At 42.2% G+C, this 13,336-nt stretch overlaps 1 protein-coding gene across 21 annotated transcripts in view, besides 1 other annotated feature; it reads right to left on the minus strand.

Annotated features, from left to right (window-relative positions):
• Positions 1-13,336, minus strand: part of ABLIM1 (actin binding LIM protein 1) — a 370,264-nt gene that overhangs the window by 280,234 nt on the left and 76,694 nt on the right. The window lies entirely within an intron of this gene.
• Positions 421-920: an enhancer, noted in NCBI's record as "H3K27ac hESC enhancer chr10:116471523-116472022 (GRCh37/hg19 assembly coordinates)". NCBI's record gives its function as "activates a minimal SCP1, AML or CMV promoter by ChIP-STARR-seq in primed H9 embryonic stem cells {active_cell/tissue: H9 hESC(primed)}" and the evidence as "EXISTENCE:reporter gene assay evidence [ECO:0000049][PMID:30033119]".

Genomic DNA, 13,336 nt, shown 5'->3' on the forward strand with positions numbered 1-13,336 from the left:
TCAGAGCCTCTTCATCCATAACCTTCCCTTGTCTTTTGATGTTCAGTTTCCATGGTGACAGTGTTAAGACCATTGAGAAGCCAACTGTAAAGCTTATGATAGACCCAAATCTCACAGTCACAGACACCACTCTAACACCAGGCGTGCCAGCCCCCACGCTAAACCTGCATATCAGCCAGAGTCTTGGCAGGTGACAGATGTTACAATCAAACTGGAGAACTTGAAAAAGGTTTAACAAAGGGGATATTTACAAAGGTGTGGTCAGGGTTCAGGTAAACCCACAAGGGGCATGCACTACCCTGAGCCAGCAACAGTGGGGAGCTGTTGCTTACCCCTAGGCCTAAAGAGGCAAGGGGTGGAGTCGATGCTAGAACCTGAAGTGAGTAGCTGAGTGGAGAGGGAGGGGGGCTTGTCAGGACCTGTGGCCTTTCATAGACAGACAACCAACAGTGACCTGGTAGAGAAGGAGTCCAGGGAATAAATACCCCAACCACACTCTCCTCCCACCCTCAGATATCCTGCTAAGTGCCCCCCGCACCAACTGGGCCCAACTTGAAGCAGAAGTCAAGGGAGCCGTTGCTGTAGCCATCGGGGTTAGTCTCTAGGAGCACAGCAGGGCAAAGGGTGGAGAATGGAATCGGAGGAGCATGTGGAAAATATTCAGCATATCCTGCCTGGGGGTCTCCAGGGTGACAGGGAAAAGATTTTCATTACAAAGTACATTAATGGCTGGGCTCGGTGACTCACACCTGTAATCCCAGCACGTTGGGAGGCCAAGGTGGTTGGATCATTTGAGGTCTGGAGTTCAAGACCAGTCTGGCCAACATGGTGAAACCTGATCTCTACTGAAAATACAAAAATTAGCCAGGCATGGTGGTGGGCACCTGTAATCCTAGCTACTCGTGAGGCTGAGGCAGGAGAATCACTTGAACCCGGGAGGCAGGGGCTGCAATGAGCCGAGATCACGCCACTGCACTCCAGCCTGGGTGACAGAGCGAGACTCCGTCTCGAAAAAAAAAAAAAAAAAAAAAAAAGTACATGAATGCTATAATTAAAAGCCATAGTAGTTCCTTCATAAGACCTGAAAATTACAATATAGAGATAAAAGATGGTTTTCAAGCCAACATAATAAATGCATAAGAAGAAATTTAGGAACAAAAAAGACAACAGCCTATTATGGGCTACCCTCAGTTACATTAGCTGTATTTATCCAAGGTCACCTCCTATTTACCCAGCTCCCCGAAGCCATGCTGGCTTTCTTGGTTTGGTTTTCCTCTTCGTTGTCACCATATTGTGAGACATGCCTGCTAAGTGGATGGAAGAATTAGATGACAGTCTGAGGCTACTAGTGAAAACTTTCAGTGGTATATAGAACAACTCTGGTACAAAATGATCTATGACACGGGAATATTTGGAGTTTCTTCAAGTAATGTTGAACCTGCTCAGCAAAACTGTCAATGATTTTCTATAATTACTTCTTATTGATTACAAATAAAACCGTAGGGCAATGGATTGCCCCGACTTAGAGCTCCATCCATTAATGAAACACGCATCTTCATGGCCAGGCACAGTGGCTCACACATGTAGTCCTAGCTACTCAGGAGGACAAGATGGGAGGATCCCTTGAGCCCAGGAGTTCAAAGTTGCAGTAGCTATGATCATACTACTATACTCCAGCCTGACAGACAGAGCAAGACCCTGTCTCTTAAAAAAAGGAAAGAATATACATATTCTTGCCCGGTTATTTCTATAACATAGCTGGGCAGAATATGTTGATACGTGGTTCATGATTTAACAAGGAAGAGAGGAGCAGCTAAAGAGACATTATCCTGGTATGAGAAAATGCCTGGGAAGAAGGAATTCAATTGCTACTGTATTGTCCTCTTCCTAGAGCACATGGGTTATTTACCAAGGAAGCAGAAGAGCAGGAGGGAGGTCTTTGCTCTGGAACCAGGATAAATGGAATGGCAAAGATCCCACTTCTCATAAAATCCTTGCATTTAAGGGGAGCTATGTCCCTAAGAGACAGTGGAGCTGGGGTGGCAAATAGCATAGTTTTTAAGTTCACAGTAGTAAGATCCAACAATAAACTATACAACCCAGAGAAATCAAAACCAAGTGCAAGATGAAGAGAAAGGGAAAATCAAAAACAGGGATAGTCCGGAAGCTATCCCTCAGTGTTTTTCTTACCCAGTGAAGGGAATAAAAAGGCTTCTAACCTACCATTTCCTACCACTGGTATTTACTTAGAGAAAGCATAACATTTTCATTTGTGTTGGTCTTTTTTTAGTAGCACTAAAGAACTTTCAGGGAGTTACGGGCTGCTCCCCATTTCAATCAGCCAATTTCATTCAGTAGGATTGTTTCCCATCAGGAGGCAGCCTTAAAGAACACTTCACTCCTTTCGGTTACAGAATAATAAAAACAGTGAGGAATTCACATACATCTTTCTCTAAATGCAAACAATAGTAAGAGCTAAATATCACAGTTGTAGAGAACATCGTGCCTCCTCACTCAAAAAATTTACACAACAGATTGAATGGCAACGAAGAGGGAACCAAGTGAGACAAAAACGGGAAGCTGACTCCAACCCTGTCTGTGTTAACTGCATTCTGTACTGGGAAGGTGTTGAATTCACAGGGTCTACACACCAACCTGGACTTGAAAAATCATCTCCCAGAAATACCTAGAGAGAAACAGCCATGAAAATAATCAGTCCTCCCAAATATTTTACTTTGTAGAACATCCTTCCCAAAAGAACACTGTCTGAAGTGGCCCTTCTATGTTGTTTAGCCTGGAATTGAATGCCTTCTCTTCCTGTTTATTAATCGCAAGGCTGGAGCTGGTTTTTTAATTAACTTCATTTAGGTCATGAAATCATCCATTGGGGACCTCAGACTGAACATCTCATTTTACAGATGAGAAAACTAAAGTTCACAGAGGTTAAGTGACCTGCTGCAGATCAGGCAGCTAATCAAATTGAGAGCAGAGCACAGGTCTATGGACATGGAGTGTAGAGCTTTTTCAGCCATGGCACTCCTGGGTCACCAGCCAAACACAGCCATTTAAAAAGAGGCTGTCAACAAGCAGCGCTGAAAGAAGCCAGTGATCCTGACATCTTAAGTTGAAAGCCGCACTTGAGAAAGATTTGGGAACTCTGGGCATGTGATGCCATTGTGACTGAGGTTACCAACAGATTCCCACATCAGAGCTGGATGTGTCCAATATCCATGTGCTACCAATGCTGTGCTATTCTTCAGCCTGTAACCGGAGCAGGCAAACTCCACAGAGGAATGCAAAATGCCGTTTGTTTACCTTGGGATGATACATACACTCAGAAGGGTTGGTTTGGCTTGGTTTCAAGCAGGCTGCACGGAAGTCAATAGCAGATTATGGTATATAAACTACAGATTCAGAAAACTAAGAGAAAGCCTTTAGAAGACAATTATGCAGTTGCTGTAACAAGAAGTAAAGAAATTGACCCTACATATATTCTTATAATATATCTAGACGAGGGATTGTTATTTTTTTAAAAAATCAACTTCTGATTATCCCTCTCTGTCTCCCTTCTTCTCTCCCTTGTCCCATTCCATCTCCCTATTATGCCATGAAGGCAAGAGTGACTCCAATGTCAACTTCTAAGCACTCTCAAAGGAAGAAGGAGAGAAGGAAAGAAAAATAAAAGGAAGAAAAGTAAAACCCCCAAATCAAAGCAGAAAGTACATCTAAAATTTCAATAGGCTGAAAAGTTACTCATTTTTAATATAATATTATCCTTAATAAACTCACTAACTTTCATGTAAGTACAGAGTTTCTTCTTTGATGCAGGGAAAAAAGGCAAAAAGATTTCCCAGACAGGCTAAGGGCCAAAGGAATTAAAAGAGCGAGCCAAGAATGAAAATTCCAGTCATCTTAGTTGCTCTGCTTAGAGAATGTTACCCTTTCCTCCTAATTAGCTAGCCAAACACCATTAATTTTTACAAACACACCAAAGATCAGTATCCGAGCCCCTTCCTTCAATTCTTTCCAAGTAAAATCAGTTGCTAGAAAAGAACAAGCCTGGAAGTTTGGGAATCTCCTGCTCTTTCCTTAGTAAGAACCCATTTAGTGAAACCAAACAAAAACAAATTACACTTCTTAAAAGACACGTATTTCCTAAAAATGCCTCCTCCCTGATAAGCGATCCAGGCTAACGTTGCAGCTCAGATTACCCTCCCTTGGCACAGTGGGTAAAACTGCCTGGCTGCTCACACACAAAGTCAGGTCGCCAAGGAAAAGAAGGTGCAGAGGGAACCAGCAAGCAGTTCAAAGAGGTCAACAACGTTCTTCCTGACCTCAGCCCTCACCGTGACTTTTCCTTTTCATAAGAAACATACAGCAATATACTTAATACATAGAGCGTTTGGCTATTGAAAGTTAAAAATTGAAGTACATATATCTAAAAAAAAATTTCTTCTGAACACTGATTTTTCATTTGCAATCAAAGATTATACTTCCATTTGCAAGAATTATTTCATTTGCATAAGGAAAATGTTACTAGAAGTATACACAGAAATAAACCTAAAAAACATCAACATGTTATACACTGCCCTAGACATTTGTCCTAAGAGTTAGGGACACAGGTCAGCACAATCAGATTCCACTAGGCCATCGTAGGGATCCAGGTCGCAGAAATTCTGTCTGTCTCTACCTTCTCCCGCTATTTGCTAACCCAAACAATCAAGTGTTTCCACAAAATGGTATTGTGAGAATAGGGAAGGAAATCTCTCTGGCACTCTGAGAAACACACTTTCCACCCATCCCAAGAGCTGACATTATATGTCTCAGACAATGATCTGGAGTCCTCCAGGCCAGGGAAGTAACTATCCAATAAGAAGTGGAGAAAATACAGAAGCTTTTGTCATCATCTGGCATGTTCCTCCATATAAGGAAAATTCTATCTTTTGCGGCCAGTGTTTCTGCAGCTCTGGTTGCCACTCTTCTGCTATATTAGCTAAGTAAGGTAGGTAGATGCATGAGAGGTATAAGAGTTTTTCACAGTTAGTGTTCTCAAATTGGTAGAGAGAAACACACACACACACACACACACACACACACACACCCCTCCCCACAGCCTCAAAGAGAAAAAAAAGAAAACGAGTGTTAAGGTAGAACTTTTCCTCTGATTTGTCTTATGTGGGGACCACTATCTCCTGAACTTACAACGGATGTTTTCTTAAGGGTAGTAAGTTTTCTTCCACTTGATATACTTCATCTGAACACACATGCTAACTGTTAAGATCAGTACACTTTTCAAGTTAGAATCATCTGGTCTAAATAATACCACCAAAGATTTGGGAATCTGAGGCAAAAGTGAGTCCTTTAAAACTCCAAGAACAAACAACACTCTACTTGAGAGGTTTCGTGCAGGTCTTCAATATTGAGTTCATGCTAGCTGCTTCTGCAGATGCCAATTATGTATAAATTTTACTATAATTGCTTGCACTGCCTGGAACTGTTAAAAAAAAAAAAAAAAAAAGCAGAAGAGCAGGAAAACACAGGAGAAACAGTTAGCTCCATTAATGAGAGCTGCCACATGAACACAGAGCTGACATGGAACTTATATTTACCATAAAGTCAAGTGTACATGTGTGCCAAATTTCTGCTCAGATCACTGCCCTAAGTCCATCCCACTGATGCCAAAGCATCATGGTATCTCATTCATTCATTCATTCATTCATTCAACCAATGTCTACTGAGCCCCTAGTACTGCCTGGGGCTGGGGAACCTACAGCAAATAAGACAGGCCTCCTCTGTGAATGATTCACCAGTGAAGTAATTTTACCATTATCATTTTTTAGGAGCAAGTGAACTGCTCTGTGCTGATGTCTTTGCTTCTACTCGTGGGAAGAAATTCTGAGAATCTTACAGCTGGACGGAAAGTCTATGGTCTTAGGAAATATTTCAGCATTATAATAAATTACTTGTGGTCATTCCTGTCTATCACCCAAATACAAAAACAATAAGACTGAAATCATGTAGGGAGAACACTGGACTAACCTGTCAGCTAGGATTCTTCAATTGCAGCACTTTTGACATTTGGGGCTGGATAATATCTTGTTTTGGGGTGCTATCATGCACATTGTAGGGTCTTTAGCAACATCCCTGGGCCTCTACCTAGTAGATGCCAGTAGCACCCCTCTCCCAGTTGTGATAAAAACATCTTCAGTCATTGTCAAATGTCCCCTGAGGGGACAAAACTGCCTCCAAATAAGTAAATAGGTGAAAGTACTCATTGAAATAGATGATCAGCAGGGCACAGTGGCTCATGCCTGTAATCCCAGCACTTTGGGAGGCTGAAGCGGGTGGATCACGTGAGCCCAGGAGTTCAAGATCAGCCTGGGTAACATGGCAAAACCCTGTCTCTACAAAAAATAAAAAATAGTCAGGCATGGTGGTGCACACCTATAGTCCCAGCTACTCAAGAGGCTGAGGCAGGAGGATCGCTTAAGCCTGGGAGGTTGAGGCTGCCATCAGCCATGTTGCATCATGGCACTCCAGCCTGGGTGACAGAGAAAGACCCTGTCAAAAGGAGAGGAGAGAAGGGGGGGAAGGGGAGGGGAGGGGAGGGGGAAAGAGAGAAAGAAGGGAAAGAGAAAGAAAGAAAGAAAGGAAGGAAGGAAGGAAGGAAGGAAGGAAGGAAGGAAGGAGAAAGAGAAAGAGAAAGAAAGAAAGAAAGAAAGGAAGAAAGGAAGGAAGGAAGGAAGGAAGGAAAAGAAAAAGAAAAAGAAAGAAAGAAAAAGAAAGAAAAGAAAGAAAGAAAGAGAAAAAAAGAAAAAGAAAGAAAGGCAGGCACTAATGCCTCTTTAAGCTAGGATTCTGTAATATTAAAAATGGCAGGTAACTAACTAGATGGTGGAAAAATAAGTATGTAGAGTGTCCCTTCAAATAAAACTTCCAAACTATCAGCAGCCAGCCCCAAAGAGTTAAGTGATTTACTGCTCTCTCCATAGCCCACCCACCCCCACACACACGTTTTCTCTACTGTATAGTAGTAAGCCCAATACATAAACACCTTCCTAATCACCTGCTGTATATTCTGAAAAGAATCATATGTGGTTCCATTTTGTTCAAAAATTTTCCTTCTCCAAAAACTATTGGTAATGAGGACAAAGAATAGAGCATTCTCTCCTGATTCAGGCGGGGTGATTAATTACCTCTGTAGAACAGCAATGCAGCAGCTGTGTCTGCCAAGTGTCCCTGGGACCCATAATTAACCCAGAAGGTCTTCCGGGGGGAATCAGACTAGAAGCCAAAGGAATATAATTAAATCCCTTGCAGTTTTAAAGGTGCTCAAGTCCTAGATTCTTAAACAAATTCATTTTTTGCATTGAACCAACAATGCTCCCATTTTTGCCCAAGACCTTCCAAATAATCTGGCTTCGTATCACTCAATATTAATTTAATATAAATTCCACAACAACAACAAAAAGCAAGGTGCAGAAGAGTATGTATGGTTGCTTTCATGTATGAAATGAATAAGATAAATATGCGTATACATGTGGGAAAAGTTACTAGAAGGTTTCCGAAACCAAAGAAACTATTAACAGTGGCTACCTCCAGGAGTATAAGTGGGGCCTATAGTCAGAGGATGCCCTCATTGAAGAGTCTTTTATGCAGTTTGATTTTTGTTCATGTATGTACGTTATTATATAATAATGACCAACCGTCATAGGGTAAACCTGGCAAGAATGGCCTGGGTTACAGTGAAAAGTAGGGAGGATAATGTGAAGCCAATGGATTAAAAACAAAACCAAACAAAAAAAACACCATTGATCTCTCTGCCTTAAATGATAAAATTAATATTGGCTATAGTTTCATAAGAGTCTGAAAATTAAATATCTAAGATTTCTCTGTAAAATGTGAAATAAGCATTTTTTGACTGCCTGCTGTGGCCAAGATACTGTCCTAGTCCTAGGCAGTTTACACAGATGATCTCAGCTGAATTTTGAACAGCCCTGAGAAGGAGGATCTCTATTCACCTACGAACTGAAGGACCTTGTCCAGGGTTACTTAGTTGTTTAAACAGCCACACAAAGGCTTGGGCTGGATGCCAAATCCTATCCTTACACTTCACCACATTTCCAGAGTGCTAGGTGAAAGTACGCTATCAAGGTCACTGACCTCACCCTCTTCAGAATATTTGGGAAAGATTCGTGACCTTTGGATGGCTGGTGTCAGGCATACACTATACAGTTCTAGATATTGCAGTTATAAGGGCATCTCTCTCTGTGCCCAGGTTTAGATGTCACACAGCTGACCTTAGGAAACAGAAAGGCTGATGTCTGTGCTTTGCTGGATGATCCCAGCAGCTTTGTGCTGGGTGTTCTGGCTGAAGTCAGGCTCCCTGCTTTAGCATTCTGGTGGCCTCTGTGAAAAATCCCGTCTTCCCAGGGCTAATTAAACATTTTCAGAATCCCCTCTCTTTAATCAAATATGCCTGCCTTTTCCTCCATTCCTTCAGAATAATTCTCAATAATTTATCTTATAAAACTAAGCCATGAAGAAGTGTCTATGAGCATAAACAATCCAATTAACCTTTCTTAAGAAAATGTGTGCCACAGTGGTTTGCTGCACTTATCAACCCATCACCTAGGTATTAAGCCCAGCATGTATTAGCTATTTTTCCTGATGCTCTCCCTTCCCTCACCCCATGACAGGCCCCAGTGTGTGTTGTTTCCCTCCCTGTGTCCCTGTGCTCTCATTTTTCAGCTCCCATTTATAAGTGAAAACATGCGGTATTTGGTTTTCTGTTCCTGCATCAGTTTGCTAAGGATAATGGCTTCCAGCTCTATCCATGTCCCTGCAAATGACATGATCTCATTCCTTTTTATGGCTGCATAGTATTCCATAGTGTATATGTACCACATTTTCTTTATCCAGTCTATCATTGATGGGCACTTGGGTTGATTCCATGTCTTTGCTATTGTGGATAGTGTTGCTATGAACATACATGTACATGTATCTTTATAACAGAATGATTTATATTCCTTTGGGTATTTATCCAGTAATGGGATTGTTGAGTCAAATGGTATTTCTGGTTCTAGGTCTTTGAGGAATCACCACACTGTCTTCCACAATGGTTGAACTAATTTACTTTCCCAACAACAGTGTAAAAGAGTTCCTATTTCTCAGCAGCCTCGCCAGCATCTGTTGGAGAAACATATTTTCACAGGACCCCTAGGAGATCCACAGGCTGCTTCAGCCAATGAGAAAACACAGAGAGAGATCTTTGGGAAGGAATGACTTCCAGTATCCTTTGAATCATAATCCTGAAACCTCCTTGTTGACGATTTTTAGCCTGGATCAACTATGGGAGTAACAAGACAGGGAAAAATGCATTGAAATAAAAAAAAAAAGCAAGCATAAAAACAATCTTAAAGAAGACAACCAAACCTGGTTTCTGCACAACATGAACCACCAAACACGGTCCTTATGTTCAATGTCAGACATTTGCCTGCCACTTACTTTCAGTCTTCACCACTCCAACTGTGCAAATAAACAAGCAAGAATAACTACTGGTGTCTAAATAAAGAAGTTATTCCCAGCAGTGGCTTAGAACCAAACCCAGAAGGTCTGAGACCCCAGTCCCTACTTTGCTCTCAAAGATCCTAAGCCAGGGTCAGCACACCTGGTAAATCTGGCTAACATCAAATGTCACTGATTACTACATAAACGCCTGACCTGGAAACTAGTTGGCACTTGTGCTCAGTTGAGATAAGGAGGGCTGCCACACTATTAATAGATTGAGTAGCTTTACAAAGTCTGGTTTGGTGGCACTGGAGGATTAACTGTGTTTTTTTTCCAAACACGTTACTGGCGTGATCCCTTTGGGGGCAGCTTCCCTAGTTAGCAGTAACTCCCTGACAGGTGAGCTTCACCTCTGGGAGTGGAGGCAGCACAAGGAAATCTTGGCCTCAGGATTTCACAGCTCGTGGGTGATGGCTTATGGACTCAGCCTGGCCAGCAGGACCCCATTGAGCATGTATGTCTAAGGAGGTGCCCAGGTGATCGCTCCCTGCTGTTCCCAGACATATCAGTCTGGAGGGGCATCCTTGGTGAATGGCCAAGCAGGCCCTGAGAATAGCTAAATGCCCTGAGCAGATAATTTTTTTTTTTGAGACAGTCTCCCTCTGTCACACAGGCTGGGGTGCAGTGGCAGGATCTCGGCTCACTGCAACCTCTGCCTCCCAGGTTCAAATGATTCTCCTGCCTCAGCCTCCCGAGTAGCTGAGATTACAGGCATGCACCACTACGTCTGGCTAATTTTTGTATTTTTAGTAGAGACGGGGTTTCACCATGTTGGCCCTTGAACTCCTGGTCTTGAACTCCCGACCTCAGGTAATCCACCTGCCTCAGCCTCCCAAAGTGCTGGGATTACAGGAATGAGCTACCACGCCCGGCCAAGCAGATAATTTTTAAGCCTTATAATCAAAGTTCCATGTTGGATTAGTCTGTTGTTGCCCTGCTGTAAAGAAATACCTGAAAGGCTTTTTTTGGGCACCAGTGGGATTCCTATAAGCAAAGGCTTGGGGAAAAAGAAACACCAGGAAAACAAATTTTCTTCCTCACCTTGTCCCTTAAAATGTGTGCATGTATGTGTGTTTGCATGTGTATATGTGAATATGACATGGAAACTGGGTAAATGAAGACAATTTTACTTCTTAATTAAGGTTAATGGCTTGATTTAGAAGTTCAGATCTCTGGAATTTTATTTTAAAATCTGACTAGACATGTGATATAGTTTATAAGGAAAGTTTATAATGATAATTTATAATGAAAAGAGGTTTAGTTGGCTCATGGTTCCATAGGTTTCCATAGGTTGTACAGGAAGCATGGCTGGGGAGGCCTCAGGAAACTTACAATTATGGTGGAAGGCAAAGGGGAAGCAGGTACGTTTTCACATGGTCAGAGCAGGAGGAAGAGAAGGGGGAGGTGCTGCACACTTTTAAACAACCAGATCTCGTGAGAACTCACTCACTATCACGAGAACAGCCAGGAAGAAATCTGCCCCCATGATCCAATCACCTCCCACCAGGCCCCTCCTTCAGCATTCAGGATTACAATTTGAAATGAGATTTGGGTGGAAACACAAATCCAACTATATCACATGTCTAGTCATATTTTAAAATAAAATGCTAGAGATCCAAACTTCTAAATCAAGCCATTGTCTTCATTTGCCCTGTTTCCATTTCATATTTACATGTACACACACAAACACACATAAATGAACACATTGTAAGGGACAAGGTGAGGAAGAAAATTTGTTTTCCTGGTATTTCTTTTTCCCCAAGCATTTGCTTATAGGAATCCCACTGGTGCCCAAAATAGTCACTCTAAGCAGGTAATGCTTTGTCCTTGCCTGGGCAGATGCAGAGCCATGAGTGCTGCTAGCTGGAGAGGAAGGAGGACCCAGTACCTGGATAGTTCTTTTCCCTTTTTCCCTTCTTTTCTGGCAAAATCCCATTTATGCTTCCAGACCAGCTCAATGACATTTTAGGCTAGATAATTTTTTTTTTAACCCAGCTCAAGCTGAGCTACTCCTTCCTTCTGTAATCATGGCTGGATGTGTATATAGCTCGCTTGCAGACTGAGCACATTGTACCATAATGATTATTTACATGTCTGTTTCACCAGTAAACCAGGAATTCCTTCCTGAGCTATTGTACCTCCAGCACCTAGCTCAGTGCGCAGCCACAGAGCAGCACAACACATATCCACTGAATAAATGAATGCATACCAGAATGTGGATTTGCTTATTCAATCCTTTCTAAGTGCCTGACCAGATTTTGGTGAGGGAGAGAAACTGACAGAACCAAAGCACAGGAGTACCCAGGAGAGGCCGACTTAGGTGAGGACCAGAATCTCAATGTGCAGTGGTCAGAGGACAGCTATGGGTGCTGGAGGGGCATACCGTGTTAGAGGGACATGCCCCTGTAAATTTCCTCAGGTTATCTGAGAGAGGAATCTGTAACCTGGCCAAAGTCTGGGTTCTTTGGAAATGGAATAAAGGGGCAGGGAGATTTTAATGGCTGAAAAGGGAATAAATAAAAGCATGGGCTACTACCTTGGAGGACAAATTTAGGTGGGATTATACTGGAGGCACTGAGCCAGGCCAGCATAAAAGGGCTGAGGGGAAAGGGCAGAATGCACCTTGAACTTGACAAAACCTTGCAAAATGTCACCAACCTATTATTGGCTGACTCTTGCCCATCCTCCTCCTCTCCACCACCTAACATGCAGGCAGCTTTCACTGCTTTTGCAGCCCGCCTGACATGCCTACATAAATTGAGTAGAAATAATTTGTGTTTCAGTGGAAAAGTATGCTTTGTCTACACAGCACACACTTGAGGGTTATCTGATTCTAGCCCTGTTCATTGTCTGTGAGCTCTTTTGTACCTCTTTATATTGTAGGTAACTAACTGATAAATATGCAATCTTTGTCTTGCCTGGTAGAGATTCAATTATCTTTCCTCCTACCCTGTGGAAAAATCAGTTTGCCTCCATTTACATATTCATTTCAATATTGTGATCTAGAAATGTATGTTTTTCAATTCTCTTCTGAACTGGTTATAACATCTGCGTGGTTCCTTCATTGGTGGAGTAAAATAAAATCTTTGACCTATATTCATTTTGATATCTGCAGGAGAGTCATGATTTTATTTATTTATGAAAACCCTTTTAACAATTGTGATTGCCTCTACTCCAAAATTTTGGTTGCTTTATTAAAAAGAAGCTTCCTCATTTTGTATCTGGAAAGTGATTGATGATATTTACATTGCACATTCATTATTATTGTGCAACAGAAAAAGCCTGTAACAAGAGACTCACAGGGGTCCTCAGTTCTGCCACTTACTAGGTGTTGGTCCTTGAGTAAGTTGCTTAATTTTGGGGGGCCTCAGTTTCTCCATCTGTGAAATGTGGCCACTGCGAGGATCAAGAGAGAATATAGATGAAAGTATGAGCAAGACTACAAAGGCTCTCAAATGAGAGCTATCCTCACTGTCATTACCACCTTTATGGAAGTAAGGAATTCCTGAAATTAGGTAAACTCGGCCTCTCCTGTTTCTGCCTCAGGCCATGAAACAGGCAAAGTTGTCTTTGGCAATGGACATTCCCTTGCACAAGGCCTGCCCTGAGAGTCACCCTGTCTTGCCCAACCTGCTCTCTCCCTCATCCCATCTCCTTCCCATCATTCCCTAGAGGCTCTACTGAAAGGTATTTATTTTGTAATTAATTCTTTCAAGGCCTTCCAAGGTGAAGATGGTCCCACCCTAATAAAGGCCAGGAGAGCTCT

This window comes from Homo sapiens, chromosome 10, assembly GCF_000001405.40.
Source record: "Homo sapiens chromosome 10, GRCh38.p14 Primary Assembly".
Lineage (NCBI taxonomy): Eukaryota > Metazoa > Chordata > Mammalia > Primates > Hominidae > Homo > Homo sapiens.